This window comes from Homo sapiens, chromosome 2, assembly GCF_000001405.40.
Source record: "Homo sapiens chromosome 2, GRCh38.p14 Primary Assembly".
NCBI lineage: Eukaryota > Metazoa > Chordata > Mammalia > Primates > Hominidae > Homo > Homo sapiens.
In genome coordinates, this window is record NC_000002.12 from 221,491,411 (window position 1) to 221,510,326 (window position 18,916).

Sequence of the window (18,916 nt, forward strand, 5' to 3'; positions counted from 1 at the left end):
GATAAGTTAAGCAAATTGCCAAAATTAAGACAGCCAACATGCGCAAAGCTGTGATCAGAAACCCTGACTCCAAGGCTAAACAACCCTGCTTCCCTTTCATAGAGATACAAATAATATAAAGAAAATAATAACCCATAATTACAAATTCTTTTTGAGAATTGGATAGAAAGTTTCCAACTTTCTCAGTTCACCCCAGAGTTCAATTTCACCTCACTTCCCTGCCCTTCATGATGATGATGGCTAGCTAGTACTACTTCCCAGATGATCCTCTTTTATCATTTTCATGGGGATTATCTTTTCTGCCTTGTTCCTACCTTCTGTGCAAGAGAGTGGCTAGGAGTTTCTATTAAAGGTTCTTTTTCTAGGTGGAAGATCATAGGAATAGGGCGAGGGGCAATTATATCTCTATAGCAGAATCTCTCATAAATCTAAATGTTGATAGCAAAGAAGATACCCTGGGCTGAGTGTGGTGGCTCGTTTCTGTAATCCTAGCACCCTGGGAGGCTGAGGTGGGAGAACTGCTTGAGCTGGGAGGTGGAAGTTGCAGTGAGCTGAGATTGCACCACTGGGAGACAGAGTGAGACTCTGTCTTAAAAAAAGAAAAAAAGAAGATACCCCGTTCTCACCCCAGGGGATCTCAGAAAAATGTGTAATTAACCTTGTTTCATAGAAGCATGCTGTGAATAACCACTGTATGACTTCCATGCATAGTGTCAAAAATGGCATCCAGAAATGACAGGACTCGGTCAATGACAAGCCACTCTTAATTATTCAGGGTGGTAGAAAAATTGTAATAACCTGGCTAAATGGCATTGGCAGATTATTCAAGCCTTCCACTTGGGCATATATTAGTGTCCCTCGAATCTTTGCATTTTCCAGTGGAATCCATAATGGGCTGTTTATGACTATAAAATGGGGAGTATGTGGGGAAAAAAAAGAGGAAGCTAAAACAGCATTTTTTTAAAAAGAATTCAGTGAGATGATACCTGATCTTTATGAAATATCATGAGGCTCTTAAAATTTTGCAAACAACCAAATGGCAAATGATCAGTCTGGGGTCTATCTAGTGCCTTCGTTGAAGCTCACCTGGTGATCTTTCTCCCTTTATCTTTAATTTTCTTCAAACAAAAACCATCCACTTGGTTGTCTAGAGGTACTTTTTCCTTTTAGTAGCTAAAATGCTGAAAGGCAATCCGAAAGGAAGAAACAAAAATGTGGTATACTCACTAGCTAACATCAGATGTTGAACTACTAAGCTCTAACTGAAGCAGCAGCATACGTTGACGGCTGCATCTGAATCGTCCAAATGTCTTTGGTTGCTTTGATCAGTTTGTACAGTCCATGGGACAGACACATTAGCTGGCTTACCAACTAACAGGCAGCAGGACCATATGTTCTGAACTAAAAACCAACTATGTAATCTGGCAGTGGAGGAGTTGGTGTCTCAATCTGAGTTTTTGTCCTATGACAAATGGAATGCAGTATGAAACTATACTATTACATTGCAAATTTGATAAATGACATGGAATGAGAAATTCCCCTGGAAAACTTGGATTTGAGATTTTTCATAAAAATATGTTCACGAAAATGATTGATTGCATGAATGATAAAATGGCTAGAGATCAACCAATGAATCTTCTGAAACACTTTCATTTACGACACTTTGGGAATCTTTGGCCTTTGTTCTCACTTTTCTAACTAGTCTTTCACTAGAGCTAACTGCACCCTCACTGACCTATTTCACAGAATGTATGCCTCCCCCATCATTATATGATTAGTTACTTGCAGCTCTAAAGCAAAAAGAAATATGCTTTCGGGTAGATAAAAAAATATATAGTTTACTTGAAACTGAAGGCTGCATTTTATCCTATGGTTTATACATCAAAGCCTCGCTCTAGACATCCCTCCCCAAATCCCTTAGCCAGACTGCTAAGCATGTAAATCTTTGGGGTAGAGAATTGAACAGAATAACAGGGGCACCTTCAAGAGCTTGTTTGAAAATGGATGTGAGATTCCCAAAATTAAAGCCCTTAAAAAAATAAAAAATAAAAAAATAAAAAAGGAAAAGAGTCCCTCCCTTCTCCTGACCTTGGAAACAAGTAAGGACGATGTTATTTTAATTTGCATTCAAATTTTCACAACACAGTCACACAGCACCGGTCGAATCGACATTGGGTTTCCACCGAAGATTGCTCATCATTTCATTATGGCTCATTATGTTGATAACTGTCAGAAAGCATTAGCAGCGAGGGCTTTGAGTAATAGAACTGAAATGGTAATTTTAAAACAATACACTTTCTGGGAGGAAATACAGCAGCGCACTAAATTCAATTAGAAAAGGCAAATGTAGAGACAAAGTAAGTGATGTTTGTTGTTTGGAACTTGGCTGTTTCAATTTCTTGATAACGTAAACCTGGAGAAAGTTTTTTCAAATCAGGACCTCTGGTCATAGATCTTAGGAAATCTGCCCTCATTAGCTCTGAGCTCTCCTAGTATAAAATGTCTTGAAAGCTGCAATTTTGGAATATTTTCGGCCACGTCTAAGTATCAATCAATCACTCTTTGTTTGTTTGGCACATTCGAGGCTGTTTACTTGGAGACAGATTCGTAAAGGCCCTTCAAGTTGGCAATCTAAAATAATAATCTCTCATTTACAGAGTGTTCCCAATCACCAGGCTCTAAGAAGTTTCATCAAACAAGTTAAATAAAGAGCACCCAAAAGCACAGGGACAGATTTCCAATTGAAAAATACGAAAAACTACTCTGGTAACAGTGCTCAGAAGTCAAGGTGGCAAAATGACAGATGAGCTACATTTTTCTAGATATGCAAAGCCAATTTACTACCTTTACAAGGTACTTTTCTAGCACATTTTGAAATACAATAAGGGGTTGGAAAAGAAAGTTACCTTAATGCCGGGTGCAGTGACTCACGCCTGTAATCCCAGCACTCTGGGAGGCCTAGGCGGGCGGATCGCTTGAGGTCAGGAGTTCGAGACCAGCCTGGTCAACATAGCGAAACCCAGGCTCTACTAAAAATACAAAAATATTAGCTGGGCATGGTGGTGCATGTCTGTAAATCCCAGCTACTTGGGAGGCTGAGGCAGGAGAATTGTTTTAACTCGGGAGGTGGCAGTTACAGTGAGCTGAGATAGCGCCACTGTACTCCAGCCTGGGCAACACAGTGAGACTCTATCTCAAAAAAGGGAAAACAAAAAAAGAAAGTTACTTTAAATATAACATTGATTTAGCTTCCCAGTGGGGGAAAAGAAGATCTTGCTCACTACAATCATTGAACAAGCAAGTACATGACTAAGACCATCAGAAGTCTTCCTGCAGGGGTGTGAGGTTGACCACGCCCAGTCCTGCTGATAACCAGACTGCATTCCAGAAGGGGCAGGGAAACAAGGAGAAACAGATCTGGAGAAGGGAAAGAGCTAGTCATTCGTAGAGTTAAAGGACTTTAATTTCATTAATAAAAATCACATCAAAATCCCTGTTAAGAAAAGATTCATAAAATCAAAATCCTGACATCAGCTTTAATGGCAGCCCTGAATGTGCAGAAATAATGGTGCTTGTCCTGGCAATGTTGCCAAAAAAAAAAAAAAAAAAAAAAACTTCTTGCCTCTCTTGACTGATACAGGTGTCTAAGGTGAACATTTACATTTCTACTCTCTGGCAATAACTTGGTGAGGATTCTGGAAGAAACAAACAAACAACAGCAAAATTAAAAAGAAAAATAATTCCACAGTGAGTGCATTTGGTTGTATGATTCTACCCAGGCTGGATTTTCTTCATACAGGAGACAGATGAAGTATTCCATTTCCATGAAGGGAGAATGATCAGAATCCATGAAATACCTTTCTAGAGTCACCACTGAGCTGAAGAACAGGTCTGAAAGTTACAGGCATCAAAACAGAATCTCCTGTCTCCTGACAGCCGTGGGGCTGGGAATCTAAATCCTTGCTGCCTAAAGACGGTTTTACAGATCAGTAGCTTCAGCCTCACCTGGGAACTTGTCAGAAACAGACTCTCAGGCCTAACCTCGCTCCTCCTAATCCGCAGGTGATTTCCATGTGATTTTTGTGCATGTGGATGTTTAAAAAGCTCTGTTCTAAACTCCCTGTTCTAAATAGTTATGGGCTATTTTCCAGAAAATGTTCCGATGGTGCTTCCATAGAAACATCTCAGCACATCTCACAGGCAGCCATTTATGTTAACCTAACCAGAGGCTCCAGCAAAAGTATTCCCAAAGGTAAAGTTTGTTTACGATTAAATTCTCTTAAGCTCTCCAGCAGCGTCAATGGTGCAAACTTCCTAGGCAGTTTCCTTCTAAATTAGCCAATGCTACTTTTATTCACCTGGTCTAATTGTTCTCCAAGTGAACAAAAACCTGATTTTACAAGCCAGTGGAGCACAGTCTCTCTTTGGCTAGAAGAATGAGGCTCAGATAGTGTGTTTTATTTCTTCATTAGTGTGCCGTCACAGTGAGCGATCACTAAATGCGAGGCTGCATAAGAATGCTGGGGTTAAAGACAGCATAATGAACAAAGAAGGTGCCTGATTATCATGGCTGTCAGCACAAGGGAATTGGGTTTGTCACCTGGCTTAACCAACTGGGAAGAACTGATTAGAGGCTGGAATCAGTTTGAAAGGACCCCTGATGTTTATGCTGCTTCCCATCCCCACATCTTGTCAAGAGAATCCGATAAAGCTGGGGGCAGCGTGCGAGTGGGGAGAGTTACTCTGTGGATCATCTGAACAAGAGGTTCTTTGAGAAACTCCTACTGTCTTCTCTGTTGGAACGTCTACTACAGTATTGTCCAATAGAACTTTCTGTGGTGATAGAAACGTTCTCTGGGTCTGCCGTCCGGTATAGTCTCCACTAGCCATATATGGCTATTGAGCACTCAAAATGTGCCAAGTTTAAATAAGAACCTAAATTTCAATTTAATGACTTTAAGGTTAAATAGCCACGTGTCAAGTGTCTACAGTACTAGACAATACAGGTCCATTATATTCACTAGGAAGGGAGATGTCGAAAGGAAGAGCCATAGGCTAAGAATTAGAATCCAGTTCTGCTGCCTGACTTACGACTATATCTATTATCAGCAAAGTATAGTCACTTCCCTGATTATCCCTATCTCAGAGGAAGTCTTCAGAGGCTTATGCAGTTAATGTTTAAGTTTAAAAAAATACTTACAAGTTTAGTTCTGTTGGCCGGGTGTGGTGGCTCATGCCTGTAATCCCAGCACTTTGGGAGGCCGAGGTGGGTGGATCACCTGAGGTCCGGAATTCAAGACCAGCCTGGCCAACATGGTGAAACCCTATCTCTACTAAAAATACAAAAAATTAGCTAGATGTGGTGGCGTGTGCCTGTAATCCCAGCTACTTGGGAGGCTGAGGCAGGAGAATCACTTGAACCCAGGAGGCAGAGGTTGCAGTGAGCCAAGATTGTGTCATTGCACTCCGGCCAGGGTGACAAGAGCAAAACTCGGTCTCAAAAAAAAAAAATTTAGTTCCATTGGAGGGGTCTGAACCTTAACTGTACAATAAATTAACAGACTGATTTTTGAAAATACTGATGCCTGAGTCCTACCCCCCCACCAGAAATCCTGGGGTACAGGGCAGCCATCAAGTAATTTAATTATGCACGCAAGGGTAAAAAATCACTGATAGAGAGGCAGTGAGATAGCTGTCAACCTGCTGTGGAGGCAGTTTGGGGAAGGAAGTGACCAGCTGGAAATAAAAGAGGAAGAGAACAAACATTGATTAGATCCCTACCAGGTGCCAGAACTTTGCAAATTTTTTTTATTTCATTCTTAAAACAGCCCCAGAGGTAGATGGTGAGAATTCCAACTTACAGATGAGGAAATTGGGGCCTGGTGAGGGTAAACTCTCTCTGAATATCACAGTGTTGGTCAGTGGTTACAGCCAAGGCGATCCGATCAGCAAGTTGATGGCGTCGCCATCAGCACTTTGTTTCCTCTTAACTGAAGTGCTGCATATAAAGTAAGTGGGATGTGATAACCATTAAAGTAATGCACAAGGCTGAGTGCAATGGCTCACGCCTGTAATCCCAGCACTTTGAGAAGCTGAGGTCCATGGATCACATGAGGTGACGAGTTCAAGACCAGTCTGGCCGATAGGGTGAAACTCTGTCTCTACTAAAAACAAAAACAAAAACAGGTGTGGTGGTGGGCGCCTGTAGTCCCAGCTACTCGGGAGGCTGAGGCAGGAGAATCACAAACCCGGGAGGTGGAGGTTGCAGTGAGCCGAGATCACACCACTGCACTCCAGCCTGGGTGACAGAGTGAGACTCCATCTCAAAAAAAAAATGAAAAAATAAGTAAGTAAAGTAATGCACAAGACCTTGAAGTAGTAAAGTGTAGGAGAAGGAGTTCCAAGAGCAGGTATTTTCATGGACCTTTTAACAATGACACAAAAAGCCACCAGCCTTCCTTCCCTTCACCTTGTGGAAAATGACTTCTGAAACATGCAAATGTTACTTTAATTTTTAGACTTTTTGGTCCATCCATATGCTAAAATCAAATTTTCTCTTCTTCCCCTTTGCATCCTTAAGATAAAGCTAACAGTTAAAAATACAATTCCAAGGGCTCAACTACCACAGCCTTATTACACATACATCAAATGTTCCAGCAACACAGACATATGGCCATCTTTGGAGGTTTCCTAAACTCCCAAGTAGCAAGACTTGGTAATAAAGTGATGGGCACATGGTCCCCTTAAATGCTAAACAGGTCAGCATCATGAGACTGAAAAATACCTGGGAGAAAGAGCCAGGACCTCCTGCCATCAGAGATACATTTCATGACACTCATAATACAATCAAATCTCAACCTAGAGAAGGCTTTATCTGCATGGAAAGTAAGTGGGGGAGTACATGATGCAAATTGAGGGCCATCCTCAAAATGTCAGCCTCAAACACTTCCCCTTGAGTTTACTATTGTGCCCCAGATTCCTACAAGAAAATTGTTGGTAGCAGGTGTGGATAAAGATGGGGAGTTTATTATTAAACTAATCACACAAATGGAACATAGCATGAAAATATTTACATTGGAAAAGAAAAAGGTTGGGACTGAAGAGTTCAAACAAAAGTGGCCACGCAGAGAAAGTTCTTAGTCTATGGAGGAACAGGAAAGAAAGAAAGCAAAAACAATCCTTGCCTATTTACAGTTTTTCTGTTTTCGTTTTTTTTTTTCTAAGACAGGGTCTTTTTTTGTCACCCAGGCTGGAGTGCAGTGATGTGAATGCAGCTCACTGCAGCCTTGACCTCCCAGGCTCAAGTGATCCTCCTGCCTCAGCCTCCCAAGTAGCTGGGACCACAGGTGAAAGGCACCAGTCCTGGCTATTTTTTTTTTCTTTTTTTTTTTTTTTTTGAGACGACAGAGTTTCCTCTGTCATCTAGGGTGGAGTCCAGTGGTGCAATCTCGGCTCACTGCAACCTCTGCCTTCCGGTTCAAGCAATTCTCTTGCTTCAGCCTCCTGAGCAGCTGGGATTACAGGCTCACACCACCACGCCTGTCTAATTTTTGTATTTTTAGTGGAGACGGAGTTTTGCTATGTTGCCCAGGCTGGTCTTGAACTCCTGACCTCAATAATCCGCCTGCCTCGGCCTCCCAAAGTGCTGGGATTATAGGCCTGAGCTACTGCATCTAACCTTTTTAACAGTTACATCTGAGACTGACCCTAGGATTCTCCCTAACTCTGAATGTTTATGCTTGACTTGGGAGAGCCAGCAAGAGAATCTCCCAGATTCTCTATAATAGAATAATATAAAATAGAAATAATATAAAATATAAATATAATAATATAAATATAATAATAATATAAAATAGAAACTAGGTGAGTCTTCAGGTTGTACAACTCTGTCCAAGGTAGGGTGTGATCTTGAGCATGTTCCTTAACATCTCTGAGCTTGCAGTTACCTTTTCTATAAAATAAAGATTATACCTACCTAACAGATTTCTTATAAACCACGTATTAAGATTTTTTTCAAGTACCTAATACATTACCTGGGCATAATTATAAAATTGTCATCATCATCATTATTATCTCTCATTATGAAAGAAACTCTGGAGGTTACAGCAATTTGAATATAAAGTCAGAGAGACCTGGAGACTCACTCCACTCATTTTAAAGACAGGACTTGATTGCCCAGTGGCCCAAAGTGCTCAAATACCCAAAAACCTTTTATTTGCAGGGTTGTTAGCTCCAGATTGGCCAAAATACCATTTATAGTAGTTAGGAAACAAAATAATAATAGTCATAATGATAACTAAAACTAATATATATATATATATATATATATATATATATATATATATATTTTTTTTTTTTTTTTTTGAGACAGAGTTTTGCTATTGTCACCCAGGCTGGAATGTAATGGTGCGATCTCGCCTCTCTGCAACCTCTGCCTCCTGGGTTCAAGTGATTCTCCAGCCTCAGCCTCCCAAGCAGCTGGGATTATAGGCACCACCCACCATGCCAGCTAATTTTTGTATTTTTAGTAGAGACGGGGTTTCACCATGTTGACCAGGCTAGTCTCGAACTCCTGACCTCAGGTGATCCGTCCACCTCAGCCTCCCAAAGTGCTGGGATTACAGGCGTGAGCCACCGCTCCCGGCCAAAGCTAAAATATATGAAATGGCATCATCCTATGCGATGTACATAGCACATAAACAACATGAGGCTGTTTAATACCAACAACCATTAGGAGGCACTGTTATTAACTCCATTCTCCAGGTGAGGAAACAGACTGAAGAGACTCAACAGCCACCCAGCTACACAACAGGCTGGGAAACAAACTCAAAATCTGTGGAAGGTGTCTGACCTGAGCCATGAGGCTAGCCCTCCAAGCACAGATTCACCTAATGGAAATTCATGGGCCCAGTGCTCCCCATTCCGATCAAGGTCACAGCCATTGTAGGGTCTGTGAAGGCCCAAGTGTACATGAAAGGAATGGTAACACCTAGGAACACTGTCCATATAAAGTGTGAGAAAATATTTCTTCACTCCTGCTCTTCATACCAAGCTTCCCAGCCTCATCCATTCATTAACCCAGCATTTATTAAATGCAATCATTAAACAAGCATTTATTAGGATTGGGGCCTAAGTCTTATGAACACAAAACTATGAGTAGAGAAGGAAGAGGTGTAATGACAACCTAAGCAATGATCTCAGTGCACACTGAGCTGTCCTTTACAGACTGAAACCACATTCCCAAACCCTGCCGTCTACCTGTTTCTCCTGCCAGTTGTCAAGCTTCCCTGAGTCCTCAGTGCAATGGCAAAGCCACTAATAAATTCCAATCTCAGCTCTAATTACACTGTCAGACAACCTCTGAACACTCAATCTCTTCTCCACCAAGTAGTCTGTAGGCAGCTGTGCACACTGAAGGCAACCAGAAGCAGTGGGAAAGACCCTTTCTTTTTACAAGCATTTCCCCTGCTATGATTGAGAAAGGATGAATGTTTGATCTCAAGTGCCCCCTGAATGATTATCCCAGGAGAAGACCTGGCAGTGCCTTGCTAGGTGGTAATGAAAGCTGTTGGCATCACAGGAATGAGAGACAAGCATACAACTTACGGGTGCAGGGCATAGAGGCAGCATCGTTGTCAGCTCTGAAAAAGCCTCGGTCACAGGTGCACGAGGTGGCTCCTTCCCAGACAGAGTAGCTGTGGGGTGGGCACTTGGCACAGGTGGCATCCGTGGAGAGAGCCTTGTAATATCCAATTTTGCAAGCTGCAGGGAAGAAGAAAAAAACAAACAAATAGAAACCACTGCAAATAGACCAAAGCAAAAATGCAAAGCCACCTCCTTGTTTCAGAAGAAGGGAGACGTTCTTGCTAATCATTAGCGATCATGTGGCTTGAAATGCAGGTCATGCAACCAAAAGCATTCATTGAGTATAGTCGCTCTTTAAGGGCCATTAACATTCCTGGTCAGGTGTCAAGAAGTCCAAAGGAAGAAATTTTCTTAAACCTGGCAGAATCAAGGAAAAGCACAGCAAAGTTTACCGAACGCCTTTCTATGTGCCAGATACCCTTTATACACATTATGCTGCTTAATTCTTACAGCACCCCTTTTCGACAGGCATTATCTCTACCTTAGAAGTGAGGAATTTCAGCTTTGAGCAGTTAATTGAGGGCACAAGACCATACATCTGCTAAGTGTCAGCACCCAGCTTTGACCCCAAGTGTTCTGCCCTCAAAGCCTGTATGCTTAGTCACATGCTATGGAATTTCAGAGTGTAGCCTTTAGCCAACCAGTGGGAAGTGTATCCAAGTGCTGACAAAAAAACCGGGTGGTGATTATTTCCCAATTACAACTACAGAAAGAACCAAATCGAAAGATCAACAAAGGCAAGCAAGTAAAAAAGACGAGCTTGTAAGGCACGGGTCACAGTTTCAGGGTGAAATAACAAAAACTATCAACTGGAGATTTTGGAATATAGTATGCTAAGATTTGTTTTTTGATCAGCGAATATTTTGTGTCTATTTTCAAGTTCATAAAACCCTCCTGTTTTTCCCTCTTTCCATTTTTCCAGCACCCTTCCCCTGCAATGCACACACCTCCCGAGAGCCTGGTGTAGAGAACACGGGCCATATAGTTTTTTATACACCTGACATCCTTTCCATGACTTCATCTTCATAAACATCACACTGACACTGTCATCATACTGACACTAAGGACCACTTTTAGTAGTGTGGAAAAACTCACTAATTCTGGGAAAACTCATAATAAAAAATAATGACTACTTGCTCCCCACTCTTTTTCCTTCCCCCATGGCCTTTCATGATCGCCTCTCAAATCTGTCTCAACCCCAGATAAAAATTGACCAACACCATCAGCATTAAACCCACAGAGACAAGGCCATTAAGAGTAAAGTTATTTCATAACACCAGAGGTTCAAAGAAAATGTGCCAGTAACCCACAATCTTTCCAGCATGATTCACTCTCGTTTCTTTTCATTCATCATGTCCTTAGGACTTGTCTATACTATCAGAAACAGCAGTGGGGAGAAGGACCTATCAGCCATTTTCCATCAGCCTGGCAGCCAAAACGGAACAACCATGCAGCAACGCAGCAGATCTTACTGAAATGAGTACTAGAAAGAGATCCATGAAACTGCTTGATTCTCTCTGGAGATAGGGCCATCATCTCACTGTCACTACTCATCCATCAAGCATCTGTATGGCTTCCAGCTGAAGTCTGTTCCACCCACTCGCATATCCTGTTGGCATTTTCTTAATCATACTCTTGTAATGGCAAGCGGAAAGGGAATTTAGCAGGGGCTCAGGAAGGCACACAGTTACTTCACTCTTACTAACTGAAGTTGTTTATGGAATTTCCTTTAACAAGCCAAAACTTTATGACGTGTGGAGCACTGACAATAAAAGTGCTGGGAGATCAATCTCTCCCTTATTTGCTTTCGTCTTTCACTGGACCGGAGCATCTTAGAAAAACAAGTTGCTCCAATGACTGAGATTTATGTGTCTCAAGTTTATACACATTGCATAATTAGATAAGGTTCAACTTGCAAGGTGCTTTTTTGGTCATGCTTAAGATGGCCCTAGGGTTTTGATTAAAATCAGAAACCCTGACTTTAGCAGGAAGAAGGACTGGGGGTCAAGCCCAGCTTTCTCACATCAAACACAATGAGCCTCTGAACAGGAACACAAACCCACTGGGTCCCGCCTGTCACTCAGTCAGTCGCAGTCGACAAAAGCAACTTGTGGCAACTCAGGACTGCAAAGAAGGCACAAAATGCTTTCATTTTTTTCACATCTGAATGTTTGCAGAAAACTGCATATTACTGACTGATTCTCATGCACCCCTCAATTTCAACAAGCATCAAAAACGAAAAACTCACAGTGGGAGTGGAAGATCGACAAGGACAAGAAACTGTCCAGTGACTGATCATCACAAAGTCCAAATGGCATATTTGAAAAGCTATTCTGATAAGACTACTTCCAGCTAAAAAATTAAACTCATCTTTTGCAAAAATCAAAATGGAAAATGTTGCCTTCAATTTCATTAAATTTCTTACAGTGCAAAAACCTGTTTTATATATTATGTGAATTTAAGAAAAAAGTGCATTTGCAAGTTTACATTTTTTCCTATTTTTCCTCGAAGCTGGTATTAATATGTCACCAGGAATAAATATATGTGAATTCATTTGGGAAATACCAATTTTATACCAGTTTGGAAAATTGAAGGCTGCTGTTCTTTAAACAGACACTCTTTTCCTTTTGCTTTTATAAAACACAGGCAGAAAATACAAAATTGTCATTGTGCTATTCTCGGCAGCCTTGCTACCCTTAACACCTTCTTTTGTCTCCAACTACATTAAGACCATGTTATTAATATTTCAGGATTCTTAGAAAGGCTCTCTCAAAATATAGTAGTGGCTTTTCACGCACATAGCCATTTTGCTGCCTACATTTAAAATGACCTAGTAAATTGATGGTTTAGTACATTTCTTTGCTCTATGTGGTGCACAGCCTTCCAGCATTTGGTACATAAATGTGTAAGTACATTCTGCATTTATTCACTACTTACTAGCATCTGAAAACTTTCACTATCTCTTTTATTCTAAACAAAACCCCTGTGAAAGATGTACTTGGCATAACAAGCATTGACTGTTAGTATTTTTTATCCTTCTATTTTAGGTGAGAACTGCTATGCTGTATTTTTGAATACTAATGACTTTGTGAGCAAGAAACTACTTCCTCCTGCCCTATTTCCACCGAAGTTTCACTAGTTAATGAACCATCTGAATGGGTGTCTTACTTGATCTTCTAGATATGCCATGGAGAAAAGATTAGTTCACACGTATGATGCAAACTTTGCATTCAATTCCTTTAGCTTTGCTTTAATTATCTCTTTCTGCTGGCTTTGAATAAAAAAAGATGGAGGAGGAGAAGGAGGAGGAGGAAAAAGAAGAACCAACTCTTCTTTCATTGGCTCACCCACTACCATAACAAAGTCGAATTTTAAGATAGTCTTGGTAACGTAGTATCTTCTGGATTTTTGATGCATTGATGTGTGTACGTGACAGTATAATGCCCAATTTAATGAGCTGATTACACCTACTATTTGAAAATTTTATATATATATATATATATATATATGGCTATGTCATTTTTCTGCTTTTTAAGAAATGTAGAATAATTGATAGTATCTGATTGTCTTTATAGTTCATTTTAAAACTAAATTAGTGCCTAAGAGTAGCTAATAATAGCAATTGTGAAAATAAATATCAAGTATTCATTGAGTATTCATTGTTTATATGCTCATTGATCATTTAATTGTCACAATAATTCTGTGAGCTTGAGGCATTATCACTGTTCCCACTTTGCAGATGAAGAAACAGGGTTTTCAGTAACTTGTCCAGGGTCATACAGTTAAGTGGTAAGGCCAAGCATTTAACTCCAGTGCTTATGTTTTTCTAAAAGTTTTTAGTGAAAAAGGTTAAGTTACCTAGAGTTAGGTCTGACCTTCAGCAAAAATATGACTTGGGTATAATGGAGGGGTAAGGATCTGGGCTGGTCCCAACTTCTATTTGTTCCCCCAGCCCATCCTCTTGCTGCCTTTATCAGCCACAAAGGCAGCCACACTTTGCTCTCTGTGACCCACTTTCCAGTTCAAGGTCCCTCAGAGCTACACTGTCCATTAAAATAACTGCTCACCCCATGTGGTTACTGAGCACTTGAGATATGGCCGGTCAATGAATACTGGCTGTGAGTATAAAATATACACCAGATACCAAACACTTAGTATCCCAAAAGTAAAACATCACTAATAATTTGTATATGGATTACATGTTGAAAGCAATAATGTTTTGAATGTATACTTAAATTATTAAATTTAATTTCACCTTTAAAATTTATTTATTTATTTATTTTTTTGAGACAAGAGTTTTGCTCTTGTTGCTCAGGTTGGAGTGCAATGGTGTGGCCTCAGCTCACTGCAACCTCCGCCTTCTGGGTTCAAGCGATTCCCCTGCCTCAACCTCCTGAGTAGCTGGGATTACAGGCGCCTGCCACTACGCCCGGCTAATTTTTATATTTTTAGTAGAGATGGAGTTTCACCATGTTAGTCAGGCTGGTTTTGAACTCCTGACCTCGTGATCCGCCCGCCTCGGCCTCCCAAAGTGCCAGGATTACAGGAATGAGCCATCACACCTGGGCTAAAATTTATTTTTCAATGTGGCTACTGAAACACTTAAAATTATCTATGTGGCTTGCATTATATCTCTATCAGACAATGCTGCTCTAGAAGCTAGAGTATTAAGTATTGCGTGTGTGCTGCCGTGTGCACACACATGCTACTCTTGCAAACGCAGGGTGCTGAAAGTGAAGGAGGATGTATCACAATCCCCCAAGGACCTGTTTTCAAAACTTACCCTGAACCTACTTAGAAGAATCTGATACACTTCCTGAAGAACTGCTCTCAACCAGCTAGGTAATTTTAAAAACCTAATTTGGGCTAAAGTACTAACAAATGGACATTAATGGGGGGTTAAAAATTACCTTCCCAGGTAACAAATTTGCACCTTAATATAGAGTCGCTTGAGGGTCTAGAAATTCCAACACTGATTCTAAGGAGAATCTGAACCCTTTATGCACGCTGGTCTCCATACAATATTTGGCAAAGAGAGGCTTATAGGTCTCTCCAACCCTATCTTGTGGGCATGATACTAGGCACACATGACCAAAAAGTTTCCATGGGAACTCTGCCTTTTGTGCACTGGATACATAATATATCCAGTATGCTTAGGCATCTATGTTAGAAATATCAAAGTCTCTTAATGGCCATTATTAAATTAGTTCTTCAATAAATTTTTCATTTGTTAAACTATTTCTTATGTTAATAATATAAGAAAAAATGATGGGAAAGAAAAAATATCTGTCAAAAAGCATTACAGCTTTTGAAGTTTTTGTGAATATGTGCAAGCCCCAGCCATCTTTGGGGAAGGTGTGAACATTAACCAATTAATTCCCCACAGTACAGATGGAATATTAAGGCACAAAGGTTAAGGGTTTGCCCAAGGCAGGGTGGATTTTCTAACACAGACAATATGGCTTAAACTAATACGCTATAGATCTCTGCTTTCTCTTTTCAAACATGCAGGGTGAAGATGGACAATTGGAACTGTTATTGGACCCATCTGACTCTCTTCCATTCATGAACAGCCAAACGCTGGCAAATCCATATTGTCCAAATCACCTGCATTCTACAAGTGGTTTGACTGCTATCTGTTGAGCATAGTTAAAAATTAGATTGTTGAAGGGACCTTCAAAATCATCTCATCCAGGAATGGGCAAACATTTCTGTAAAGAGCCAGAGGCCAAGAGGAAGACCAAGGATATGATGAAGGTATTTATGTAATAAGATAGAAAACAAATTTTTACAATTATTTTTTTAGTGATAGAATTCAAAATATAATAGTAAATCATTAAGTACTTTTTTGCAATATAGAGTTATTAGTGAGGGGAATGGAATTCTTTGTTGGAGAGAGAACATTTCACTTAATTTGGTTTCAAGGAAAATGTTCATTATTACCAATTCAATTCCAAATGTCATCTATTAAAAAACATTCTTAGCTGTCAGATCATATAAAAACTGGTGGCAGGCCAGATTTTGCCCATGGGTCATACTTTGCCAACCAGTGATCTTGTAGGACATGTTCATTTTTGAGATGAATAACTTGTCCACGGGTCCTTTCTGGAGCATACTAGGATTGAGCCTCTACTCCATGGTTCGTCTGTTACTCTGCAGTGCCTCCCCAAGTTTTGAATGACAAAGCATAATAAAGTGCATGTTCTTGTCATCGCTGCAAATGAGTAAACTTTTCATCAACTGTCTTACTGGAAAAGCTGATTTTACTCAGTATCATTATAAGTAAAACCACTTTTCAATTGATTTTCTTTTTTTGATTAAATGGTATGGCCTGATTTGGAAGCTATTCCTATACCATTGTGGGGACAATTTCTTTGAATCAGTTCAAATTTCTGCAATTATATATTATGATTAATTTTACATTTACATTGTTTTAGGGTTTTTCTTCCCTGAGGATCCTGGGCTTAAACTGTTTTTGTCTATGAAATGAAAGAATGATACTGATTTTTTTTTTTAATTTCTGAGCCACTAAGTTCATGAAACAACTACAATAGCAATTGAAATGCTTTGTGTTGATGACTGATGTAGAGAAATAATGCCTTAATCTTTTGCCTGTGAAAAGGGTTTACTCTCAATCCCAAGACTGAGATAAAGACAGAGACAACAGAAAGTGTTCAAGAGCTTTGAAAGATGTAACAGGTCTCTCAGGTGCGGCCTAAGCTCTAGTCTGGACATTAGCTAACTAAAAAAAAGTTTTTAAACTGGAGATTACCTGAATCCAAATTCAGCAAGAATACCAAACTTCTCATCTCAGAAGCTTCTAATCTTGGAAGATCAGTAGTTTCTAATCTTTCTTCTCAGAGTCTAGCATGTATCAGAATGACCTTAACAAAGGACTTGTTAAAAGACCAATTGCTGGTCCTCACTCCTAGTTTATGATGGTCTGGTGAGTCCTGAGAATTTGCATTTCTTATATACTCCCAGGCAAAATGTGTCCCTGGACCCGATGACAACATTGCTGGTCCAGGGACATGTTTTGAGAACCACTGCTTAACTGTAAATAGACCCGTGTCTAAGTAAACTCTTAACAATGCAGTTCATCTTAAATAGGTTCAAACCACCTCATCCTTTCTCTAATACCCGGATGCTAAAGGGACAAATCATTATCAGGAGAAGAATAATTGGTTTTGGAATTCATTTTGGAGTGGGGAGAGGGCATGCCAGAAATCTGACATGTTTGAGGCCGGGCGTGGTGGCTCACGCCTGTAATCCCAGCACTTTGGGAGGTCAAGGCAGACTGATCACCTGAGGTCAGAAGCTTGAGACCAGCCTCTCCAACATGGTGAACCCTGTCTCTGCTGAAAAATACAAAAATTAGCCAGGAGGCATTGTGCATGCCTGTAGTTCCAGCTATTCTGGAGGCTGAGGCAGGAGAATCACTTGAACCCGGGAGACTGAGGTTGCAGGGAGCCAAGATCATGCCACTGCACTCCAGCCTGGGCAACAGAGTGAGACTCTGTCTCAAAACAGGAAAAAAAAAAAAAAAGAGTAAGAAAGAAAAGAAATCTGACATGTTTGAAATATAAAATTTAAATTATTTCTCAAACCAGTATGAATGTGCCCTGTATTGCCCCCCAAATTATGGGACAGAGCCTGGAGTGAAATATCCTTATAGAAATGGGTAGCTGCCAAAGAGAAAGGAAAAGAGATGAAGCTCTCACACAGAACTCTGTTATGCTAAAAATTACACCATGAAATTCAAAGGAAACTTACCAAACTAATACTGTCTCAAGTAAGTAGTTATCCTCTCACATCAATATTGTGAACTGATCATTGTTGTTTTTTGATACTGTTTCACAAGTATTAAATAACACAGTTAATTCTTACTTATTTTATTTCAAGTATTTGTTTATTTGATACTCTTCTGTTTTCTGGATAGTAAAATCAGAATAGTACAACCTGATTGTTGTTAAAAATTACTAAAGAATTAAGGCTGGGCCCAGTGGCTCACACCTGTAATCCCACCACTTTGGGAGGCCTAGGTGGACTGATTACCTTAGGTCAGGAGTTTGAGACCAGCCTGACCAACATGGAGAAAACCTGTCTTTACTAAAAATACAAAATTAGCCAGGCGTGGTGGCCCCTGCCTGTAATCCCAGCTATTCAGGAGGCTGAGGTAGGAGAATCACTTGAACCCGGGAGGCGGAGGTTGCAGTGAGCCGAGATCGTGCCATTGCACTCCAGCCTGGGCAACAAGAGCAAAACTCTGCCTCAAAAAACCACAACAACAACAATTACTAAAAACTTAAACTTAGTTATTTCGAGATTTTTTTGTGCACTCTGAGGAGACTAAACTCCAAAACATGATTGCATCACCAGAAATTCAAGTTTATTTCATTCATACAAAGTTCTACTTTCTCTAGTAAACCTCTGAGAATTCAGAAAAGATGTACTGAGTTGCTTGGCTCTGACCTAATCCTGGTCTTTGGTTGCTTTAGAATATTATTTTAAAATGGCTGTAGGGGAGATAGTAGATATGTAAATGTTGAAATAAAATTGAAATATTTAATTTTGGTTACCTTAATCAAGTGTATAAAGGAATATACCAGACATCCATTTAGAAAGGTTAAAATATTTAGGACAGAGATGTTTCACAGACAACAACAGCAAGAATGTAAGTAAAGAATGACAAAAGCAAAAAATAAACTACAAACAAATCAAAGGTGATTTTCTGTCTGACATTCATATTCACTGTCTGGTGGTCTCTTTTTGCCCTGCAGAATAATTGATAGCAAGGGCAGTGGGAGACATAACGGGAAAGGCCTGAACTTGGTTTTTAGCTCTGCCCCTTATTAGATGTGTGAACTTGAACAAACTATGTAACTACTCTGAACTTCAATTTTTTCATCTGTAGGGCTGAAATGATGATGAAATGAGATAATACACAGGAGGATAAAAGACAGTGTGTTCTGTGTATAAGCTACTCACTAAGAGTAACTCATTATTCCTATAGCACAGTGCATGGCTGCAAGAGGGGAAGATGGAAATGACCAATGGATTTTCATAAAACTTCAAGTTTTTTGTTTTGTTTTAAAATAAGATTGGATATAATTTCTAAAACACTATGGGATAACTTCTTCATTATTGTTTTTATTTCTTCTGTTATTAACATGGGGTAGAAAACCCAAGATTGAAGTCTAACTCATAGCATCTGCAGTTTAGTAACTATAGACAAGATTGGAAGTATGTAAAAATTTATTTTTATTTAGAC

At 40.0% G+C, this 18,916-nt stretch overlaps 1 protein-coding gene across 4 annotated transcripts in view; it reads right to left on the reverse strand.

The window, feature by feature from the left end:
* EPHA4 (EPH receptor A4) overlaps nucleotides 1-18,916 on the reverse strand; it is a 156,176-nt gene that overhangs the window by 73,384 nt on the left and 63,876 nt on the right. For all 4 annotated transcript variants that reach the window (NM_001304536.2, NM_001304537.2, NM_004438.5 and 1 more), the window contains one exon: nucleotides 9,607-9,762. In NM_001304536.2, the coding sequence (NP_001291465.1) occupies nucleotides 9,607-9,762 (156 nt within the window). The remainder of the gene's footprint in view (nucleotides 1-9,606; nucleotides 9,763-18,916) is intronic.